The 22,636-nt window shown below is 37.0% G+C and overlaps 1 protein-coding gene and 1 pseudogene across 2 annotated transcripts in view; one reads left to right on the top strand and one right to left on the bottom strand.

Annotated features, from left to right (window-relative positions):
- ZNF728 (zinc finger protein 728) overlaps window positions 1–22,636 on the top strand; it is a 28,294-nt gene that overhangs the window by 3,134 nt on the left and 2,524 nt on the right. Inside the window, exons 2-3 of one of the 2 annotated variants that reach the window (NM_001267716.2) lie at window positions 11,592–11,718; window positions 12,640–12,735. In NM_001267716.2, coding sequence (NP_001254645.1) covers window positions 11,592–11,718; window positions 12,640–12,735 — 223 coding nt within the window. Of the gene's footprint in view, window positions 1–11,591; window positions 11,719–12,639; window positions 12,744–22,636 lie in introns of those variants that run through there. The other variant, XM_047438797.1, reaches the window with a different exon arrangement.
- Window positions 4,196–5,075, bottom strand: BNIP3P36 (BCL2 interacting protein 3 pseudogene 36; annotated as a pseudogene).

The following is a 22,636-nucleotide window of genomic DNA, read 5'->3' as shown; positions in this document are numbered from 1 at the left end:
ATCTAGCTTTTAGAATGTTAGCTACCAAGGAAAAAAAATAAGAAAAATTTTTCTTCCATTTCGGCTGTAGAGAATTAATGTATTTCCACAAGAAAATGTGGTAGATAATTGGTGAGTTACATAGTTTCATGAAAACATCAGTTTCTTTTTTTGCAGGGTAAACTTGCTAAAGTAAATATCTTTGTTCTATATCCTGTTATTTCAATTTCTGAGTTTAATGCTAAATTTTATCTGATGAAATTTGGTACCTCCTAGAAGTGTTCCCATGTAACTGTTTACCACATGATTTTTAATACAAAAAATAAAATAATACTTTATTGTCCAAAAGAAATAAATACATTTGCTTCTCTTACTGAGGTACAAAATGTAAGCACCTTAAAATTTTCTTATATGTTTTTGAATCATTTTGCTGGATTTTTCAAACACTTATTTTCAAAAACTAAGTGAATGACTCTGACATGGTAATTAAAGCTTGAGCCCAATGACTGCGAGCGAAGGTTAATTTTGAGCCGGCAAAAGGAGGTTATTAAAGGCCCAGTTAGTTCCTTCTGGAAAGCCTTTCCTGCAGATGTCCCAGCCTGCTTACCCCAGCCATGGAAGAAGCCTCTATAGTGAGAGAAGCTACAGAGCCTTGGAAAGCTGGGGCCCCACAGACAGATGCAGTTAAGGTTAAGATAGAAGGGGTTTGGGAGTGTCTTACTGAAGATAAAATTGTTACTTTTTTGAGGCAGTTTTGAGAGATTTTAAAATAAACCAGTTAGATGTATATATAAAAAAAAAAGAATTCCAAAGGAGTATTGCAACAGGAGGAAGTACCAACTATAAGATCTTTAAGGATTGCAAAGATTAGGTAGAAAAGGGCTTTTTTTCCTAGGGAAAAGCAAATAAGATTAGAAAAAAGGTGAGGGGAATGTTTAAATGAAGGGTGAAATAATCAGATTTTAGATCAGACAATGTTTTACCCTAAAGTCTGTGTGTTCTTAGTAGGGACATAAAATGAGGTTGTATGGTGGCTCAGACTGAGCATAGCTCAGAGTTCAGGAGCCTGTGGGAAGAAAATAAACAAGTGAATTTTGATTAAGAAGTATTTTATGTTGACCACTGAAGACAAACTCAGCTGCTTTTTTAATGAGAAAAAGAAGAAAATATGCAGAGTGTTTTCCTGGCTGTGTATTAGGTAAGTAAAGAGAGTACCATCTAAGTCATAATGGGAAGGGTGTTTCTTTTCATAAAGTGTTACTGGAGAACACAGAGGATAGAGAATTTTATTAATCACAGCTATTTATTATCTATATGCTTCATCTTTTCCCACCTCTTTTCTTGGTTCTATACTTTTCTTCCATTTGACTTTTTGGGGGTTGTATATTTTATTTGAAACCTGTAAATATAACTACAGTGTTCTGCTGAGTTCTGTGAGTAGCTCTATCAGATTATTGAATTTCAGAAAGGTTATGGGAGTCCCCAATTTTTAAACAGTAGGTCAGAAGCATAGATGAGCCCATGAAGTTTGTGACTGGCATCTGCAGTGAGGACAATGTTGTGGGACTGAGCCCTGAATCAGGGTCTGTGCTGACTCTCAACCTCTCAGGCTCAAGCAGTCCTCTTCTACTTAAGCTTCCCAAGTAGCTAAGACTAAAGTCTTGTGCCACCATGCCTAGCTAATTTTTCTTTATGTTTTTTTTTTTTTTATAGATGGGATTTTGCTATGTTGTCCATGCCGGTCTCAAACTCCTGAGCTCAGGCAATCCACCTGGCTTGGCCCCCAAAGTGCTGGATTACAGGCATGTGCCATCATGCCCAACCATACCATATTTTCTTTATCCAGTCTACCATTGATAGGCATTTAGGTTGATTCCGTGTCTTTGCTGTTGTGAATAGTGCTGCAATGAATGTGATTGTGCATGTGTCTTTATGATAGAATAATTTATATATTTTTAGGTATATACCCAATTGTGAGGTTACTGGGTCAAATGGTAATTTTGTTTTTAGTTTAGTGAGGAATCAACACACTGCTTTTCACAATGGTTGAATTATAATAATGGCCGTTCTCACTGGTTTGAGATGATTTCTTGTTGTGGTTTTTCTTTTGCATTTCTCTAATGATCAGTGATGAGCATTTTTTTATATGCTTGTTAGCCACATTTGTGTCCTTTGAAGAATTTTTTCATTTCTTCTAGATTTTTTTTTATGTGCATAGCAGACTTCAGTATATTTTTGTGAGGTTAGTGGTAATGTCTCTTTTTCTCATTTCTAATTGTGTTTATTCGTATCTTCATTAACCTAGCTAGTAGTTTATTTCCTTTTTTTTTTTTTTAAATAGATTTAATGCCAGGATTTCTTGATATTTTGTAGTTTTTCATGTCTAAATCTCCTTCAGTTCAGATCCGATTTTGGTTACTTCTTGCCTTTGCTAGCTTAGGGACTGATTTGCTTTTACTGCTCTCAGTCTTTTATTTATGATATCAGGTTGTTAAACTGAGATCTAACTTTCTGATGTGAGGATTTAACGCTATGAATTTTTCTTTTAACACTGCCTTAGCTGTATTGCAGGGATTCTGGTATTTTGTATTTTTGTTCTTATTTGTTTCAAAACACTTCTTGGTTTCTGCTTTAATTTCATTATTTACCAAAAAGTTATTCAAGTGTAGGTGTAGGCCATTTAATTTTTATTTAATTGTATGGTTTCCAGTTGTTTTATTGGTATTGAATTATATTTTTCTTAAGCTGTAGCCCGTGTGTGTGGTTTGTGTCATTTTGGGATTTTTGAATTTGCTGAGAATTGTTTTATTTCTGATTGTGTGGTCAGTTTTAGAGTATGTGCCACGTGGTGATGAGAAGAATGTATATTATGGTATTTTTAGATGAAGAGTTCTGTAGATGTGTATTAGGACTATTTGGTCAAGTGTTGAGTTCAGGTCCTAATATTGTTGTTAATTTTCTTCTTCAATGATCTGTCCATTAGTGCTTGTCAGATGTAGTCTCTGATTATTACTGTGTCAGATTCTAAGTCTCTTCATAGGTCTCTAAGAACTTGCTTTATTCATGTGAACCCATGGGGTTTCTTAATAACATCTTTCTCTCTTCTGCTTTTCCCCCCATAAACATCCTTTCAAGTGCACACACTGTGCAAAATTCAGAGATCCAAGAGTTCAAGAACTTGTCCAGAGACCTGGCTGTTGTAAGAGAAAATATAAATTAGCAATAAGAGGTTTTATTCTCATATGTGAAAATAAGGGAGGATAACTTGTTAATTTTTTAAAAAAAAGTTTAGATTATATGTATATATTTCTTCTGCTTTTTGAAGTATATGTAAATCATATTAACAATGAAACAAACCTTTTGTCATTCTTTTTGACTCAGAATTGTCTTTATCTGGGACCTGAGATTCATTGCTTTCTTTTTGTCTTGGCAAAAGGTTATATTTTTTTATCTTTCTTTAGTCTTTAAACTAGACACAGATTTGTTCAGAGTAAACTTCATTTCAAGAGCATAAAAAAGTTGAGCACAAAGATCGGAATAAATTTAGCAATGCAGAATAATATAGACTAAAAGATACTGAGTAAGTTCTTTGGCAGAAACCTGATTATCCAAGGTGATTATTTGCAGGCTGACATACTTACACTGCAAAAGCCAGAAGAGTTCAGTGTATAAACTGAACAGTGGAGTCTGTTGTACTTGGGTTACTTCAGTACAGTTAGTATAGTTATGTGTAGTGTTTGTAGACAACCTGCATTCATATAAATTAAACAGTATTTTCTACAATAGTATGAATATAAGGCCACAATATTTACTTTGATTGAATTCCTTAGTTATTTTAATATTGTTATTCATACTTTTGAAATACAGTGTTTCAACTGAATTACAGTTCAGATAATTTTTTAAAATATTACATACCTTATGACTAGTACATAAAATTATTCATACTTATATATTTATATCTGATATCCAAAAAAATTTACCATTAAATCGTTGCAGTAGATATTAGTCTGACATGCTATTAATTTATCCAGTGGGAATAATTATAGGTAAGCATAATTTTAGTGTCTTATATTTTACCAAATTGGTATGCTGCTATTACAGGACAAATAAAGACAGATGATATGGCTACCCAAAAACCATAATAGCTCTCCAGTTAGCTATGTTGCAAGCTCTAATATATTCTACTATATTAACACAGATTTCAATTTTTTATAAAAAAGTGCTACTGGAAGTTGTCAGATATATTCCAATATAGATCTCACATTCAATGGTTAGGAAATAAGAGAGCAGCAGAGATGGAAGATAAATCTTTTAAAATTCTGCTGAGAGCTGGGTGCAGTGGCTCATGCCTCTAATCCCAGGATTTTGGGAGGCCAAGGTGGGTGGATCACCTGAGGTCAGGAGTCTGAGACCAGCCTGGACAACATAGTGAAACCTTGTCTCTACAGAAAATACAAAATTAGCTGGGTGTGGTGGCGCGTGCCTATAGTCCCAGCTATTTGTGAGGCTCAGACAGGAGAATCACTTGAACCCAGGAGGCAGAGGTTGCAGTGAGCCAAGATCACGCCATTGCACTCCAGCCTAGGCAACAAGATTGAAACTCCATCTCAAAAAAAAAAAAAAATTCTGCTGAGAATATGCCCCCTTTATTCAATAATGCTCCTGTTTCTCTTGCTGAGAGTAGCTATGCACTTGGGTGTTTGGAGAGAAATTCTTCTTAGGGAGATATTTTCTGGCTGACTTGATCAATCTTATATCCAATCTCAGTTTTTTCTTAAGACACTTTTAACTTTTTTCTTTCAATATAATCTTTCTCAGAATGAGAGCTGTTTTTCTCTCAAATGCATTGTGTGTCTGTTTCAGAAACCCTATTAGTCCCATGGTGTCTGTGAAAGACGTGGGCTGTCACAGTGAGAACTCTCAGAGCTATCTCTATCTGGACTCATGCCAAAACCCAGCAGTATTTTTTTCATGCCACCATTATAAATAAAAACTGAGGCTGAAACAGTGCTCCCTTTTCTATTATTGTGAAGGTGCAATTCTACCCAGGAGGCCTGCAAGCTCTCCTCCTGCTGCTCAGGCTTCACTGTCTGATGTGGCACTGGAGTGCTGCTGTGGCAATTGGGGTTCACCTAAGATGTGAGTTTCCAGCTGTGAGCCCTGTGCTGTGGGCTGTGCCTCAGTGGCAGATGGTAGGGGTCAAGAGAGTACACTAGCCACCAGGAGAGGGAAACAGGAGTACTCAAGCCCAGTGCTCAGGGAGTAGAGACCTATTGCTTTAAAATGTAAAGAGCCAAAAAGATAGCACCCGAATCAACAATTTTTGTAGAAGAGTCAAAGCCTACCTTCAGCAGGCACCGGGGTTCAAGTTGCAAAACTACCTCCAGTCATGAAGATGTGAAAAGTTTATTTTGTCATTGATTATAACCAATTAGCATACATGGATGGCCTTCCCAACTACCAGATGAATTTAGGATGAACTATGTATGACATGGTGCTGTAAATTCTACTTGTAGACTGATTATGGTCACTGTCTTTCTGTCTTTGCAATCTCTTGAGCAAATTGACTGTAATGCATGTCACATTCACATGTAATTGTGTAATAAAACAGTTTTCTTTCTGTTCTGTTACTGTGCAGTTCCTCTGGGGCTGAAGAAAATTTTGCTTTTAATTATATTTTCCAAATCCTGTCTAGAATTACCAGACATAATGTAAACACATAAGGTGCCAACTAAGCTTTACTCTAGATGGGCCTTTTCGGCTTCCAGTCAGTTCACAATTGTGCTGTGAAGTGCATGCTGTCCCCTAAATATGCAGGTGGAATTGTGCGTCTGCCTACTTGGTATCTATCATGTCTAGAGTCACTTTTAGAGAGGCTAGACCAGATTTCTACAGACTTCATTGGTCAGATATTAGCCATTTTACCTCTTTCAGTGACTCTTGTGTCCTCAGACCTGAAACTGATTCAGTGACCATGGGGCCCAATCAGAGTAAAATATGTGCATTGAGCAGACCTGTAGACATGAGAATCCACTTCTCCCTCCCTCCTCATGCTAAAATGCCCACAAATGTTCAGGTAACACTTGCTGCTATTTTACCCATGCAGGACCTGAATTTGCAGCTCCAAATTCTAAATCTAGGTCTTGAGAATTGAGAAGAAAAAAAAAGTTTTTGTCTGAGGAATGCAAGTCCTTTTAGTTATCAGACTCAGAGAGGCATTAAAATGAGAGCACAATCATGTTTTTCTCCCTTTTTTTCAGCTATGTATCTCTTGAAACTGTTCACTATTGCCACAAGTAGCTATAAATTAAACTAATAATTCCACACTGGACACTGTATTCCATATCCTTAACCTTAACAATGTATATCCAATTAATTATTAAAGTTATTTCTTTACATAAATAAGAATTTCTCGCAACCAATTTTGTATCAGCTCACTCACTGTTCCTTTTTTTTTGCCTTTGCAAATCCACTTGTAAGTGCTGCTAATGAAAGCGTGGATTCCAGGCAACTTGAATATTTGGTCTCAAGTTAAAATCCTTAAGCTTGACCCAAATAAACTGTCTGCTTATGTTCATGTTGTGTCAGCTTTTTTAAGGTAAAATATTATTTAGAATGTTCTAGAGCAGCCTCTATGAGGGAATCTCTCCTTTGATTTCACTCTACTTGCTGTAACACCCAAAAATGCAGAGTGAGGTTGATTTCACCTAGAATCTGCAAATAAGATCTGGCTGGCCTCTGCCTGGGATTTACAAGGCAGGGCCAGACTTTGGATTGAGAATTTACAGAAAACCAACAGGAGGCATTTTCTGCATTGTGAGATATCAACATAGACATTTTAAATTCCTCTTTTGAGAGTGTGGCTTTTTGACCTTTTCACATCTTCTTCATTAATCTGCCACAGGTATGTGAGAGGCTCCCGGAGTAAATAGAATCTGATGGCAGAATCTCTAAGTGTAAACAAGCATCTTAAGGCCACAAAGTATCCAGAGCCATGACCACAACTATATCTACCTGTAAAATGTGATACTGGAGTAAAGTATTCTTGTCCTTCTACTTACCCACCAGCTAGCAAATCAGGACAGCTAGCAAATCAGGATGGATGACCCAGGTTTGGGAGTTCAACCAAGGCAGTTCCATTTTTTATTTAGAATCATCCCGAGTCTTCTCTGCCTGGCTTATCAGTGGACCATCAGCCCAGGGTCATGGGGAACCCTCTCACAATCACCTCTGAATCTTTGAGACATTTGAGAATGTCCAGAACAGAATTGTGTCAGGCTGATAAGAGTGACAAATTCTGCTTCTGTCCCATTGTGAGAGAAATGAGTCATCTTGTGTTTGTTTCTCCCCTTATACAAGAAGTATCTTTGGTTGGTACCCAGAAGAGAGTTTTTCAAGTTCCCTGTACTCGGGTAAAAAATCAGGAGGTCTCGAGGCTCAGACAGATAAACTAATTGGGCTCAAACAGATAAACTAATTGCTTCCATTTCATATAGTCATAAAAAAAAAATAGATGAAGCAGGTGGGGTGCAGTGACTCATACCTGTAATCCCAGCACTTTGGGAAGCCAAGGTGGGTGGATCACCTGAGGTCAGGAGTTCGAGACCAGCCTGGCCAACATAGTGAAATCCCGTCTCTACTAAAAATACAAAAATTAGCCTGGTGTGGTGGCTCATGCCTATAGTCCTGGTTACTTGGGAGGCTGAGGCAGGAGAATCGCTTGAACCTGGGAAGCGGAGGCTGCAGTGAGCCGAGATCACACCATTGCACTCCAGCCTGGGCAACAAAGTGAGACTCAGTCTCAAAAAAAAGGAAAAAGAAAAGAAAAATAGATGAAGCAGTCATGGTTCCTACCATCCTGGCAGTTTTAGTCTAGACTAGCAACTGGAAATATGGTTGAATTATACATCATATGGTGGGTACAATAAATAGCTGTGTGCAAAAACTTGGGCTTTATTTGGGCCACTTTATATTGTGGCTTCTGATGTCTACAGCTGAACTTAGAAGAGTCGTCATTGTTATTTGTATTTATTTTACCCTGCTAAGAATACTTATTTTTCTTCTAAAAAATTATTCTAGAAAACCTTAAGGGATTTTTAAAATTGCTTATTAGCATATAATATAAAATTCACAGGACAGTGATAAAAAAGATTAAAATTATACAAACTCAGATTTAAGTTTACTTAAGTAAGCTTTAACAAAAAGAACTGACAATACCCCCCAGTGGCATAGAGAACAGAATTGTACATTGGCTGTACGCTCTGCCCCAGCCCTGTTCATATTCACCCTTTTTGGAGGCCTTATTTATGTCTGGCTCTACCCCGGAGTCTTGCCTCACAGAACTGATTACAGGAAATCAGAGTTTTGAGTCATGAATCCTGTTGCCTTTTTAGAGCTGGTGCTCAACATTTTCTGAAACCCAAAAGCAGATAACGGGAAATATAAAGTATGTATTGTAGGATCTTTTCAAATTTTTTATTAAAACCAGTGCTTGCAGAAACATTATTTAGCAACTGTTTTCTGTTCCTGCAGATCTAGTAGTTGATTCACAAGTCACAAGAAAGTAAATATAAACACAATAAAAATTTATCTAAATTGCATTAAATTCTTTCCATCTGTATCCCTTTCATCTGTCTATATTTACCTTTTCTATGCATTTTTTGAAAAAATCAGTGACAGATAAACAGAAATAGAAATAAAAATGCTGGGTCCTTTAAAGTGTTGGAATTACTGAACACTTAGTATCAACTCACAGGGTGTTATTAGGATTAAATCACATAATGTGCTATCACAGCACTCTGTAACATCACATAATACCTGCTTAATAAAAATTACATTAGTACATGTGCACATGTTGTTTTCCAAATGCAGACTTACTCAGAAATTGCTGCTTTCTATTTTCTCTGTAAACTTTAGTCAGCAAAGAATATAATACTTTAGGATGAAGAATGTTTGTCTTCATTTGTACCAGAAGTATTTGTGTTGTGACAAGAGTGCTGGGTGTAAGGGACTCTGTGTTGTGCCTCATTTTTCTAATTAAGGGTAATAATAAGCCCAGTGGGAACAACATCATTACTGACAGCGCACTTGTTTAAAAGACCCATTTGTGGACCCTTTCCATACCTGCAGAATTACATTTCATAGAGTGGGGAGAAAATTACCAAGTGATTTATAAGCTCGTTAGAGCTTGAGAGGAAATGCTTAGTCTTAGTTAAGGGGTTATCAGCCCAGGCCGCTAAATAGTATCACCTGGCCATTTTGCAGAACTCTTTTTACTTGTGCCCTTTCCATGGATTCTGTTTATTGTTCTTGTGGAAGCATCCATGTTGTTTTAATTAAGTGGCTCATGTGACTCTAAGGTGAGGCCAGAATCAAGTATGAGGAATTCATAATACATTCATGAGAGTTAAGTTCCATCTTTGCATTAAAGGGTGGTCCAAGAACCTGTTCTGTTTGGATTTGGTAGGGGCAGGACAGCGTGGCCCATATTTCCATTACTGTGGCAGAAATTGCTGTTGCCTGTGTCAGGGGATGGCTCCCGAGGACAAAATAAAGAAAAGCATATTTTTATCTCTGGAGCTACTCATTGTTTCTTCATCTCTTCTGCTATAAAGGACAGAATTGGGTGGAGTTTTTCTGTCTTGGTCCTTCTGCCTGTGGATGTGGTGACAGCAGGTAGACCTGTGGTGCTGACTCTTTTAAAGGCATCTTCTCAAGATGCAGGTGTAATTTGTCCAGAGAATTTTATCTGAGAAAGAATCCTAGAAAAGGAGGAGAAAGAGAAAAAAATGACCTTTTTTTTTTTCAGCTAAATGTGTCTCAGATCAAGATCTGTGTCCACTCTGCTTCCTCCAGGAAACATACATTTAGTACTTGCAAACCTGTACTTCTCTACTTGTGTTTTTCCTCCCTAATGAGTTTGTCTTAACTACTTTAAAAAATTCTTACAATAGTCAAAGTCTCTGAAAAATATATTTTTTTCTATATACCAGAGCCTTCTCTACATTATGGCTTCTTATATGCCGTGCAGAAATCTCACTATGATTTTATAATCTGCAATATTTAAAATGTCCCTTTGTGGCTGTTGAACATGGGAAGGTGTAGATACTCAAAATTCCTATTGGGGAAAACCTGGGGTTTTTAGTGAAGGCAGAGAACATGTAATGTTGAGGTTTTGTCTGTGTTCCTTATTATGTCTATGCAGTACAGGATTAAGAAACCACTCATTGAAGCAGTATAGTATTTATTACCCAGGAAATTCTAAAAAAATTTATAGGAGATAACTGCTCTCTACAGTGCTAAAGAAAGACTATTTAAAATCACTATTAAAAATTACAGAACATGGGAGATATCTGTATCTTGAACTTTCCATTAAACTAATGTTTCCTTATGGTTAAATTCAGACTATAATTTACCTTTTGGGGGGTAATATCTCAGTAGTAATGCTGTATCCTTCTGGGTGCATCAGGACATTATAAAAATTTGTTCTAGTGTAGTTGATGTTAATAAATCACTTGGTTGATAAGCTCTCCGACACATTTTTTCACTATAGAATTATTTTTCTGTTCATCGTTAAGTATCTTTATGCAGCTGATGTGAACAAACCAACACATTTAATCTGGCAGCTGCCCTTCTTTCTTAGGTTTCCTTTGCATTTGTCTGTTTTTGGGAAATGAAGATGAGAATCTTTGTTTACAAACCAGAAAAACTGAGAAAAACACAGGCTCATTCAATTACTGGGTATTTGACAAAATAGTCTTTTTGGGCCAAAACCATTGGCATACTGATGAGCTTTTTAAAAATTCAGCAACTCAGACTTTATCCCTGATGTTCTGAAAAAAAAAAATAATAATCTGCATTAATGGGATCTCCAGCTTATTGTACACATTAAAATTTGAGTGATACCTTCTAACTCAACATGTCTATTCCATCTGAACAATATACACAACTATGTCTTTTCCATCTGAAAAATACAAACAATTAATTCTTTTTTTTTTTTTTTTTTTTTTTTTGAGATGGAGTTTCGCTCTTGTTGCCCAGGCTGGAGGGCAATGGCATGATCTCGGCTCACCACAACGTCCGCCTCCTGGGTTCAAGCGATTCTCCTGCCTCAGCCTCCCAAGTAGCTAGAATTACAAGCACACACCACCACACCCAGCTAATTTTGTATTTTTAGTACAGACGTGGTTTCTCCATGTTGGTCAGGCTGGTCTAAAACTCCCGACCTCAGGTGATCTGCCCGCCTTGGCCTCCCAAAGTGCTGGGATTACAGGCATGAGCCACCACGCCTGGCACACAATTAATTCTGTTTGATGTAAATATAGCACTCAAAATTGTACATGTTAGTGTTTATGCCCTCAAGTTTATACTTTATTATCTAGAAAAATACTATACATACACTGATGTTATGGATCTTATACCACTTTCTTTTCTCAGAGTTAGAGAATACATTAGAGAATATTGTTGTGTTGAAAACTATTTTATTGAATGATTTCAGTCACTCCTGTAAGTCAGAATGAGCTCTTTTTACTCTTTCCATTTTACCTTGAGTCAAATTAAAAATTCTGCCCATGACCACTTGGTAAATATGTGTGTTTGTGTGTGTTTTCCAGGGATCGTTGACATTTCGGGATGTGGCCATACAATTCTCTCTGGAGGAGTGGCAATGCCTGGACACTGCACAGCAGAATTTATATAGGAATGTGATGTTAGAGAACTACAGAAACCTGGTCTTCCTGGGTGAGAATAACTTTAATACGCAATTCCTAGTATACACTATAGGTTTCATTTTGCTGTGGACTTTATTGGCCTGGACAAAGGAGGATGAATGCAGGAATAAAGGCAGACAAAAGAGTATATTTGGAAGACGGCACCAGGGGGCTCTTTGCTTCTAGTGAACAAGGGCCCTGAGCTTCTATAGCCCTTCATATTTATTGAGTAAAGGAGATAGGGAGAAGGGGGAGGTTGTGGTCAGCTGCTTGACTTAGTACAACCCTGCATGACTGTATTCTTTAAACAGTACTCTGCAGATGTTCCAGTAGATAACCTCAAGAAGCATGGCACCAGGGGGTGACTGTCCTTAGTGTACCTTGTGGCGGCAGGAGCAGAAGCGAATTCGCCCACATTCTGCATTCATGATAAACAGTTTGCTGTTTGATCATATAGCCTCCAGTGGAATGCTGAGTTGGTCACAACCCTCAGCCTTTCGGCTCCCAACATCATTTCTCTTTTGTATAATTTCTTTTTGGTAATTTATGCTTTCAGATTTCTGTTTTCAAGAAAATCATAGGGATTTTTCCATAGAGAAAAAAATTTCAAGATGTTTCATCTTGACCTTAACTTAACCACATTCTTGAGCTGATCTCTGTCCTTCACTTTAGATTAATGGTAATTTCAAAATTTTACTGGCATAAATACTGGTGCTCACACCTTAAAATCTAATTTCCACCACCAATTTTTAATTCAGTAGTACCAGGTGATAAAATTAAGAACTTACAAAATTAGAGTGTTTTCTAAATATTTAGAAATTTCTGTTGTAATTTAGTATTTTGGGATAAATGTATTAGAATATTCTATCACATCCTCTTTACTGAGCACATTACTAAGTTGTTAATTGGAGAATATGAGCAAGATGCATGTTACTCATTTTTAATAAAACAGGTATTGCTGCCCCTAAGCCAGACCTGATCATTTTTCTGGAGCAAGGAAAAGAGCCCTGGAATATGAAGAGACATGAGCTGGTGAAAGAACCGCCAGGTAGGTGAGAATGAATACAGACAACATGGATGAGAGGTCCAAAGTCAAGGAGAAAGCCAGTCCTTAAAGTGATATGGGAAGCTGTGTTCCAAAAGAAATAGTTTCTGGAAAGCCTAATTTTTATTTTTATTTTTTAATTTTCTCTCACACAGTGGCATCTTCTGTCTTATGCTTTTAAAATTTCTAAGAATTATTTTTTCCCTTCAGTAATCTTCCTTCAAGTTTACAGTGACAGCCAAAGTACTGTTCATGGCATACAAGAGAGTGCACAATCTGAGTTTTTTTGTTTTTGTTTTTGTGGACACAGATATTTCCATAATTTTAAGGTACTCCATGTTAAACTATCTTTTAAGTTCTCTTTTTCCATCATCTCTGAAATATGTGAGAGTAGTGGTTTCTGTATCATTGGGTGTTTTTTGTTCATTTTTCTGTACATTTCATCCTGTTTTTATTACTATAGTCTTGAAATATAGTTTGAAATTATAAAGTATGTTGTCCTGCTTTTTTCTTTTTCCTCAAGATTTCCTTGGCTATTCACAGTTTCTTGTAGTTTCATGTAAATTTTATGATTGTATTTTTCATTACTGTGAAAAAAAACCACTGGAATATTGATAGAGAGTTTATTGAATCTAGAGACCACTTTGGATAATATGGCATTTTAACATTTATTCTTTGAATCGATAGACAAAATATATTTCAATTTATTTGTGTTCTCTCATTTTTCATTGATAAATCTTTCACTTGAAAAGTTTTTCAGCTCCTCGGTTAAATTTGTTCTCGGATATTTATTATTTTAGTGCTATTGTAAATAAGATTGTTTTCTTCCTCTATTTTATCAGATAGTTTAAGTGTATGGAATCATAACTTATATGTTAATTTTATATTTTGCTAATTTACTGAGTGTATTTTAAAAGGTTTTAATGTACTGTTTATGGTTTTTTTTATAGAGAACACTGCATGATCTACAAGCAGCAATGTTTTACTTATTTGTCTTCAATTTCAATGACTTTAAAATTTTTTTGACTAATTTTTCTTCCACATACGTCAAGTGCTGTGTTAAAATAGAAGCATTGACAATGGGCACAATATACTTTTCCATTGGTGTCTCAATTTGAAGGCGCAAACACCTCTTAAAGTTTTTATAAACTGGTTTCAGAGGGTAAAAATCTTTTGTTGGGCCTCCAGCGTGATAGAATGCCCTCTGGGTTTGTAGTAGAGTGGGGTTGTAGCTTGGTCACAAGGCTGCTGGCTCTGCACTAGGGTTAGCTTATTACAAGGGGCTTGGGTAGTTGTAATTCCCATTTTATTTTTGGACAGAGTAAATATCCTTCAGGACTTTGCTCAGTAGGGTAGATGCTAGGGCAGGTTTCTGCAGTCAGGTCTGCATATGGTGGGCTTTATATTAGGATGTGGATTAGTATGGCTTTCACTGAGTACCAGAGAGGATTTCTGAGGTCACTGTGGATTTCTACATAGGCAGAACTGGCCATGAACTGTGGCTTAGGAAGCTGGAACTGAGTCTTGGAACTGCTATTGGGACCAAGGTCTGCAGGCCTGCCAGCATTGCTCTAAATGGGTATCACTCTCCAGGCCTCTGGAAGACCCAAGACCTCTCACAGACTGTGGCTGGGAGGAGTTTGGGATGATTACAGAGTAAGTTCAAAATTTTCAGTGGGACCAAGTTGGGTGGGACATTTTCTGGTCTGTAGTCAAGAGCAGGGGTCCTGTAGTTTGCCACCTGAATGAAAGCTTGCCTTCTGAAAAGGGTGCTCCTCAATCTTGGGCTTTAGCAAAGTTTCACAATTGCCTCCCTGGATCTCAAAGCTCTCTTAAAGGCACTTATTTTTGAGATGGGGTCTCACTGCATAACCCAGGTTGGTCTTAAAATTTTGGCCTGAAGCAATTCTTCAACCTTACTGTACCATGTAGCTGTCATTACAGATATTAACCATGCTGCCTGGTTCTCTCATTAAGACATTTTTGTCATGGATGACTGACAGACTTTCTTGCTGTTGGGGGTTAAGCAAATAGGGCACCTTTTTCTTTTTATCTGCTTCTAAGAGTGTAAATGCTTTATAGCTATATATCTCATATAATCTTTGTCTTTTTGCAGCTGACTCATTTCATTTTGCATAATGTTATCAAGATTTATCTTTATAATTGGTAGAACATTTTCTGCTTTTTGAAAACTGAGTGATATTCCAGTATTTTTATATTTCAGATTATATTTACTGAATGATTTGGTGACAGAAATTTGCATTGCCTTTACCTATTAGCTTACAGTAATAATTATTGCTATGTAAATGACTCCTCATATGACCATACATGTTAAAGTATATATATGTGTTGCATTCTATTTCATTAGTCTAATTTTTCATCCTTATACCAGATTGTTTTAATTCTGTAGCTTGGAATGTCTTTTGAAATCAGGAACTTTAATGCCTGCAATATTGCTTTATTATTATTATTATTATTTTAAGATTGTTGGGAACTTTATTGTCTTTTGAAATTCTATATACTTTTGGGGTTACTGTTTCTATTTCTTCAAAAATGCAATGAGAAATTTGAAAAACATTTCATTAAATTTGTAGATTACATTGACCAGGATGAACATCTTTACAATGTTAACTATTACAACATTTGCATAAGAGCATGCTTGAGTGTTTTGTTAAATTCCTATGTGTGTGTATATGTGTGTGTGTGTGTGTGTGTGTGTGTGTGTGTGTGTGTATTTTTTTTTTTTTTTTTTTGAGATGGAGTCTCGCTCTATCTCCAGGCTGGAGTGTAGCGGCACAATCTTGGCTCACTGCAACCTCTGCCTCCCGGGTTCAAGCGATTCCTTTGCCTCAGCCTCCTGAGTAGCTGGGACTACAGGTGCATGCCACCAAGCCTGGCTAGTTTTTCACATTTTAGTAGAGACAGGGTTTCACTATGTTGGCCAGAATGGTCTCTATCTCCTGACCTCAGGTGATCCACCCACCTCGGCCTCCCAAAGTGCTGGGATTACAGGCGTGAGCCACCCATGCCTGGCATATTTTTTTTTCAATTTTTTTCTATTATTGTATACTTGCATTTGAGTTTAGTCATAGAAAATAATTCATAAAATTTCAGTTTTAAAAAATTTGGTAAGACTTCTTTTTTGGCCTAAGAGGTGGTCTATCAAGAAATATGTTGTATGAGCTATTGAGAAGGGTGTATATCCCGATGTTGAGGAGTGCTGTCTATACCTCTGTCAGAAATAGTTGTTTTATACCACCTTTAAGTAGTCCGTTTCCTTGTTAATATTCTGTTTTGATTTTTTTTATTATACTTTAAATTCTGGGGCACATGTGCAGAACGTGCAGGTTTGTTACGTAGGTATGCACGTGCCATGGTGGTTTGCTGTACCCATCAACCCGTTATCTACATTAGGTATTTCTCCTAATGTTATTCATCCCCTAGCCTCCCACTCCCCGACAGGCCCTGGTGTGTGATGTTCCCCTTCCTGTGTCCCTGTGTTGTCGTTGTTCAACTCCCACTTATGAGTGACAACATGCTAGTTTGATTTTCTGTTCTTGTGTTACTTTGCTGAGAATGATGGTTTCCAGCTTTATCCATGTCTCTGCAAAGGACATGGACTCATCCTTTTTTATGGCTGCATAGTATTCCGTGGTATATATGTGCCACATTTTCTTTATCCAGTCTATTACTGATGGGCATTTGGGTTGGTTCCAAATCTTTGCTATTGTGAATAGTGCTGCAATAAACGTATGCATGCATGTGTCTTTATAGTAGAATGATTTATAATTTTGAGCGTATATACCCAGCAATGGGATTGCTGGATCAAATGGTATTTCTAGTTCTAGATCCTTGAGGAATCACCACATTGTCTTCCACAATGGCTGAACTAATTTACACTCCCACCAACAGTGTAAAAGCATTCCTACTTCTCCACATCTTCTCCAGCATCTGTTGTTACCTGACTTTTTAATGATCACCATTCTAACTGGCATGAAATGGTACTCATTGTGGTTTTCATTTGCATTTCTCTAATGACCAGTGATGATGAGCTTTTTTTCATGTTTGTTGGCCACATAAATGTCTTTTTTTGAGAAGTATCTGTTCATATCCTTTGCCCACTTTTTGATGGGGTGTTTTTTTTTTCTTGTAAATTTGTTTAAGTTCTTTATAGATCCTGGATATTAGCCCTTTGTCAGATGGCTAGATTGCAAAATTTTTCTCCCATCCTGTAGGTTGCCTGTTCACTCTGATGATAGTTTGTTTTGCTGTGCAGAAGCTCTTTAGTTTAATTAGGTCCCGTTTGTCAATTTGGCTTTTGCTGCCATTGCTGTTGGTGATTTAGTCATGAAGTCTTTGCCCATGCCTGTGTCCTGAATGGCATTGTCTAGGTTTTCTTCTAGGGTTTTTATGGTTTGGGGTGTTACATTTAAGTCTGTAATCCATCTTGAGTTAATTTTTATATAAGGTATAAGGAAGGGGTCCAGTTCAGTTTTCTGAGTATGGCTAGCCAGTTTTTTCAACACCATTTATTAAATAGGGAATCGTTTCCCCATTGCTTGTTTTTTTCAGATTTCTCAAAGATCAGATGGCTGTAGATCTGTGTTGTTATTTCTGAGGCCTCTGTTCTGTTCCATTGGTCTATATATCTGTTTTGATACCAGTACCGTACTGTTTTTGTTACTGTAGCCTTGTAGTGTAGTTCGATACTACAAGTCAGGTAGCATGATGCCTCCAGCTTTGTTCTTTTTGCTTAGGATTGGCTATATGAGCTTTTTTTTGGTTCCATATTAAATTTAGTTTTTTCAAAATCTGTAAAGAAAGTTAATGGTAGCTTGATGGAATAGTGTTGAATCTATAAATTACTTTGGGCCGTATGGCCATTTTCACAATATTGATTCTTCCTATCCATGAGCATGTAATGTTCTTCCATTTGTTTGTGTCCTCTCTTATTTTCTTGAGCAGTGGTTTGTAGTTCTCCTTGAAGAGGTCCTTCACATCCCTTGGAAGTTGTATTCCTAGGTATTTTATTCTCTTTGTAGCAATTGTGAATGGGAGCTCAGTCATGATTTGGCTCTCTATTATTGGTGTATAGGAATGCTTGTGATTTTTGCACATTGATTTTGTGTCCTGAGACTTTGCTGAAGTTGCTTATCAGCTTAAAGAGATTTTGGGCTGAGACAATGGGGTTTTCTAAATCATGTCATCTGCAGATAGAGAAAGTGTGACTTCCTCTTTTCCTATTTGAATACCTTTTATTTCTTTTTCTTGCCTGATTGCCCTCACCAGAACTTCCAATACTATGTTGAATGGGAGTGGTGAGGGAGGGCATCCTTGTCTTGTGCCGGTTTTCAAAGGGAGTGCTTCTGGTTTTTGGCCATTCAGTATGACATTGTCTGTGGGTTTGTCATAAATAGCTCTTATTATTTTGAGATACGTTCCATCAATACCTAGTTTATTGAGAGTTTTTAGCATGAAGGGGTATTGAATTTTGTCGAAGGCCTTTTCTGCATCTATTGAGATAATCATGTGGTTTTTATCATTGGTTCCTGTTTATGTGATGGATTACGTTTATTGATTTGCATATGTTGAACCAGCCTTGCATCCCAGGGATGAAGCCAACTTGATCGTGGTGGATAAGCTTTTTGATGTGCTGCTGGATTCAGTTTGCAAGTATTTTATTGAGGATTTTTGCATCCATGTTCATCAGGGATATTGGACTGAAATTTTTCTGTTGTTGTTGTGTCTCTGCCAGGTTTTTGTATCAGGATGATGCTGGCCTGATACAAAGTTAGGGAGGCTTCCCTCCTTTTGTATTGTTTGGAATAGTTTCAGAAAGAATAGGATCAGCTCTTCTTTGTACCTCTGGTAGAATTCAGCTGTGAATCCATCAGGTCCTGGACATTTTTTATTGATGGGCTAATAATTACTGCCTAAATTTTAGAACTTGTTATTGGCCTATTCAGGGATCTGACTTCTTCCTGATTTAGACTTGGAAGGGTGCATGTGTCCAGGAATTTATTCATTTCTTCTAGATTTTCTAGTTTATTTGCTTAGAGATGTTTATAGTATTCTCTGATGGTAGTTTGTATTTCTGTGGAATCAGTGCTGATGTCCCCTTTATTATTTTTGATTGCATCTATTTGATTCTCTCCTTTCTTCTTTATTAGACTGGCTAGCAGTCTTATCTATTTGTTGATCTTTTCAAAAAATCAGCCCCTGGATTCATTGAATTTTTTTTTTTTTGAAGGGTATTTTGTGTCTGTCTCTCCTTCTGTTCTGCTCTGTTCTTAGTTATTTGTTATCTTCTGCTAGGGTTTGAATTTATTTGTTCTTGCTTCTCCAGTTCTTTTAATTGTGATTTTAGCATGTCTATTTTAGATCTTTCCTGCTTTCTCTCGTGGGCATTTAGTGCTGTGAATTTTCCTCTAGGCACTGCTTTGTCTGTGTCCCAGAGATTCTGGTATGTTGTGTCTTTGTTCTCATTGGTTTCAAAGAACTTTTTTATTTCTGCTTTCATTTTGTTATTTACCCTGTAGTCATTCAGGAGCAGGTTGTTCCGTTTCCATGTTGTGTGGTTTTGGGTGAGTTTCTTAATCCTGAGTTCTAATTTGATTGCACTGTGGTCTGAGAGACTGTTACGATTTCCATTCTTTTACATTTGCTGAGGAGTGTTTTACTTCCAATTATGTGGTCAGTTTTAGAATAAGTGTGATGTGGTGTTGAGAAGAATGTATATTCTGTTGATTTGGGGTAAAGAGTTCTGTAGATGTCTGTTAGGTCTGCTTGGTCCAGAGCTGAGTTCACATCCTGAATATCCTTGTTAGTGTTCTGTCTCATTGATGGGGCTAATATTGACAGTGGGGTGTTAAAGTCTCCCACTATTATAGTGTGGGAATCTAAGTCTCTTTGTAGATCCCTAAGAACTTGCTTTATGATTCTAGGTGCTCCTGTATTGGGTGCATACATATTTAGGATAGTTAGCTCTTCTTGTTGCATTGACCCCTTTACCATTATGTAATGCCCATCTTTGTCTCTTTTGATCTTTGTTGGTTTAAAGTCTGTTTTATCAGAGACTAGGATTGCAACCCCTGTTTTTTTTTTTTTTGTTTCTTTTTTTTTTTTGCTTTCCATTTGCTTGGTAACTATTCCTCTATCCATTTATTTTGAGTCTATGTATGTCTTTGCACATGAGATGGGTCTCTTGAATACAGCACTTAGATGGATCTTGACTCTATTCAATTTGCTAGTCTGTGTCTTTTAATTGGGGGCATTTAGCCCATTTACATTTAAGGTTAATGTTGTTATGTGTGAATTTCATCCTGTCATTATGATGCTAGCTGGTTATTTTGCCCATTAGTTGATGCAGTTTCTTCATAGTGTTGATGGTCTTTACAATTTGGTATGTTTTTGCAGTGGCTGGTACCAGTCGTTCCTTTGTATGTTTAGTGCTTCCTTCAGGAGCTCTTGTAAGGCAGGCCTGCTGGTGACAAAATCTCAGCATTTGCTTGTCTGTAAAGGATTTTATTTCTCCTTCACTTATGAAGCTTAGTTTGGCTGGATATTAAATTCTGGGTTGAAATTCCTTTCTTTAAGAATGTTGAATATTGGCTCCCAGTCTCTTCTGGCTTGTAGGGTTTCTGCAGAGAGATCCACTTTTAGTCTGATGGGCTTCCATTTGGGTATCTCGACCTTTCTCTCTGGCTGCCCTCAACATTTTTTCTTCATTTCAACCTTGGTGAATCTGACAATTATGTGTCTTGGGGTTGCTCTTCTCGAGTAGTATCTTTGTGGTGTTCTCTGTATTTCCTGACTTTGAATGTTGGCCTGTCTTGCTAGGTTGGGGATGTTCTCCTGGATGATATCCTGAAGAGTGTTTTCCAACTTGGTTCCATTCTCCCCATCACTTTCAGGTACCCCGATCAAATGTAGATTTGGTCTTTTCACATAGTCCCATATTTCTTGGAGGCTTTGTTCATTTCTTTTTATTCTTTTTTTCTCTAATCTTGTCTTCTTGCTTTATTTCATTAAGTTGATCTTCAGTCTCTGATATCCTTTCTTCCACTTTATCGATTCAGCTATTGATACTTTTGCATGTATCACGAAGTTCTCATGCTGTGTTTTTCATCTCCATCAGGTGATTTATGTTCTTCTCTAAACTGGTTCTTCCTGTTAGCAATTCGTCTAACCTCTTTTCAAGGTTCTTAGCTTCCTGGCATTGGGTTAGAGCATGCTCCTTTAGCTCGGAGGAGTTTGTTATTACCCACCCACCTCTGAAGACTACTTCTGTCAATTTGTCAAACTCATTCTCTGTTCAGTTTTGTTTGTTTGCTGGTGAGGAGTTGTGATCCTTTGTAGGAGAAAAGGCATTCTGGTTTTTGGAATTTTCAGCCTTTTTACACTGGCTTCTCCCCATCTTTATGGATTTATCTACCTTTGGTCTTTGATGTTGATGACCTTCAGATGGGGTTCTGAGTAAACATCCTTTTTGTAGATGTTGCTTCTGTTCCTTTCTGTTTGTTAGTTTTTCTTTTAACAGTCAGGCCCCTCTGCTGCAGATGTGCTGGAGCTTGCTGGAGGTCCACTCCAGACCCTGTTTTCCTGGGTATCACCAGCTGAGGCTACAGAACAGCAAAGATTGCTGCCCATTCATTCCTCTGGAAGCTTCGTCCCACAGGCCACCCGCCAGATGCCAGCCAGAGCTCTCCTGTATGAGGTGTCTGTCAGCTTCTACTGGGAGGTGCCTCCCAATTAGGAGACATGGGTGTCAGGGACCCACTTGAGGTGGCAGTCTGACCCTTAGCAGAGCTCAAACGCTAGGTGTTGTTTTTTTATGTTACGTTATTTTCAGTGGTAAGAACTGCTTTCAGCATCTTTCCTATGGAAGACATATGCAGTGCCGATATACTTTTTGTGAATTTGATTATTTTGAAAGGTTTTTTTTCTATTAGGACAGATTTGCTGATTTGGTATTATTCTCACTTGATAGCTATTTTTTTTTTTTTTTTAGGACTTTGACTATCTCACACAGTTCTCTTCTGGCCTGTAAATCTTTTGTTGACAATTCACTGGTTATCTCATAAGACTATGTTTGCAAATCACTTTTATCTTGCAGCTCCTAAGATTCTCTTTTTGTCTGTAACTGTTCAAATTGTGATTATAAATATGTTTTTGTTATAAATGTATTTGTGTGTATCCTAATTTGCTTTTTGATCTTGTTTTTTATTTTTACATTATTTTATCTTAATTTTAGAATCAGTTATTTCTTTTTGTATTTTTTATCACCACAATGTAGATATTTTTGTTCTTATCCTCATTTTTCTGATTTTCTATAGTCTTTTGTGTTCCTATTTCACTCAGAGTATTATTCAATCTTTAAAATTAGTATATACATTTTTAATGGTTTCTTTCTGAAAATTTTATAATATTTTTGATGGGATTATATTGCCCTATTTTGTATAGATTGTAATCTTTGAGATTTGGACATTTAAAAATTTATAATATAGCTTTGTCCTGGTGTAGTCAGAAAACAATGGTCTTGGCTAGAGATTATGTGGGTCTCTCAAACATCTTCAGATTTGTCTTGTCTGAAATTTTGTGCTTACCTTTAGTTAAAAGAGATTATTTATGTTTCTTCTGAAAAGTAGTTACTTGTTACACCTTTTCTCTCTTTGCAGCACTGCAGTGCTCTGCTGCATTGTATTTATCTTTGGTCTCAACAGACTCAAACTGTCATTTCTAAGTATACCACCATATCTTTCAGCACTTTATGTCATGGGAGACAGAAACCAGTGTGTGGAAAGGCCCATAGAAGACAGAAATTAAATTGTATGTGCCAATATTTTACTTGCCTTTAGAAAAAAAAACAGAAGTTGACAATTTACTTCTGAAGGGACTAGGTAAT

Source organism: Homo sapiens, chromosome 19, assembly GCF_000001405.40.
Source record: "Homo sapiens chromosome 19, GRCh38.p14 Primary Assembly".
Lineage (NCBI taxonomy): Eukaryota > Metazoa > Chordata > Mammalia > Primates > Hominidae > Homo > Homo sapiens.
Note: the sequence above shows the minus strand (reverse complement) of the source record. Positions and strands in the feature narration are given on the sequence as shown.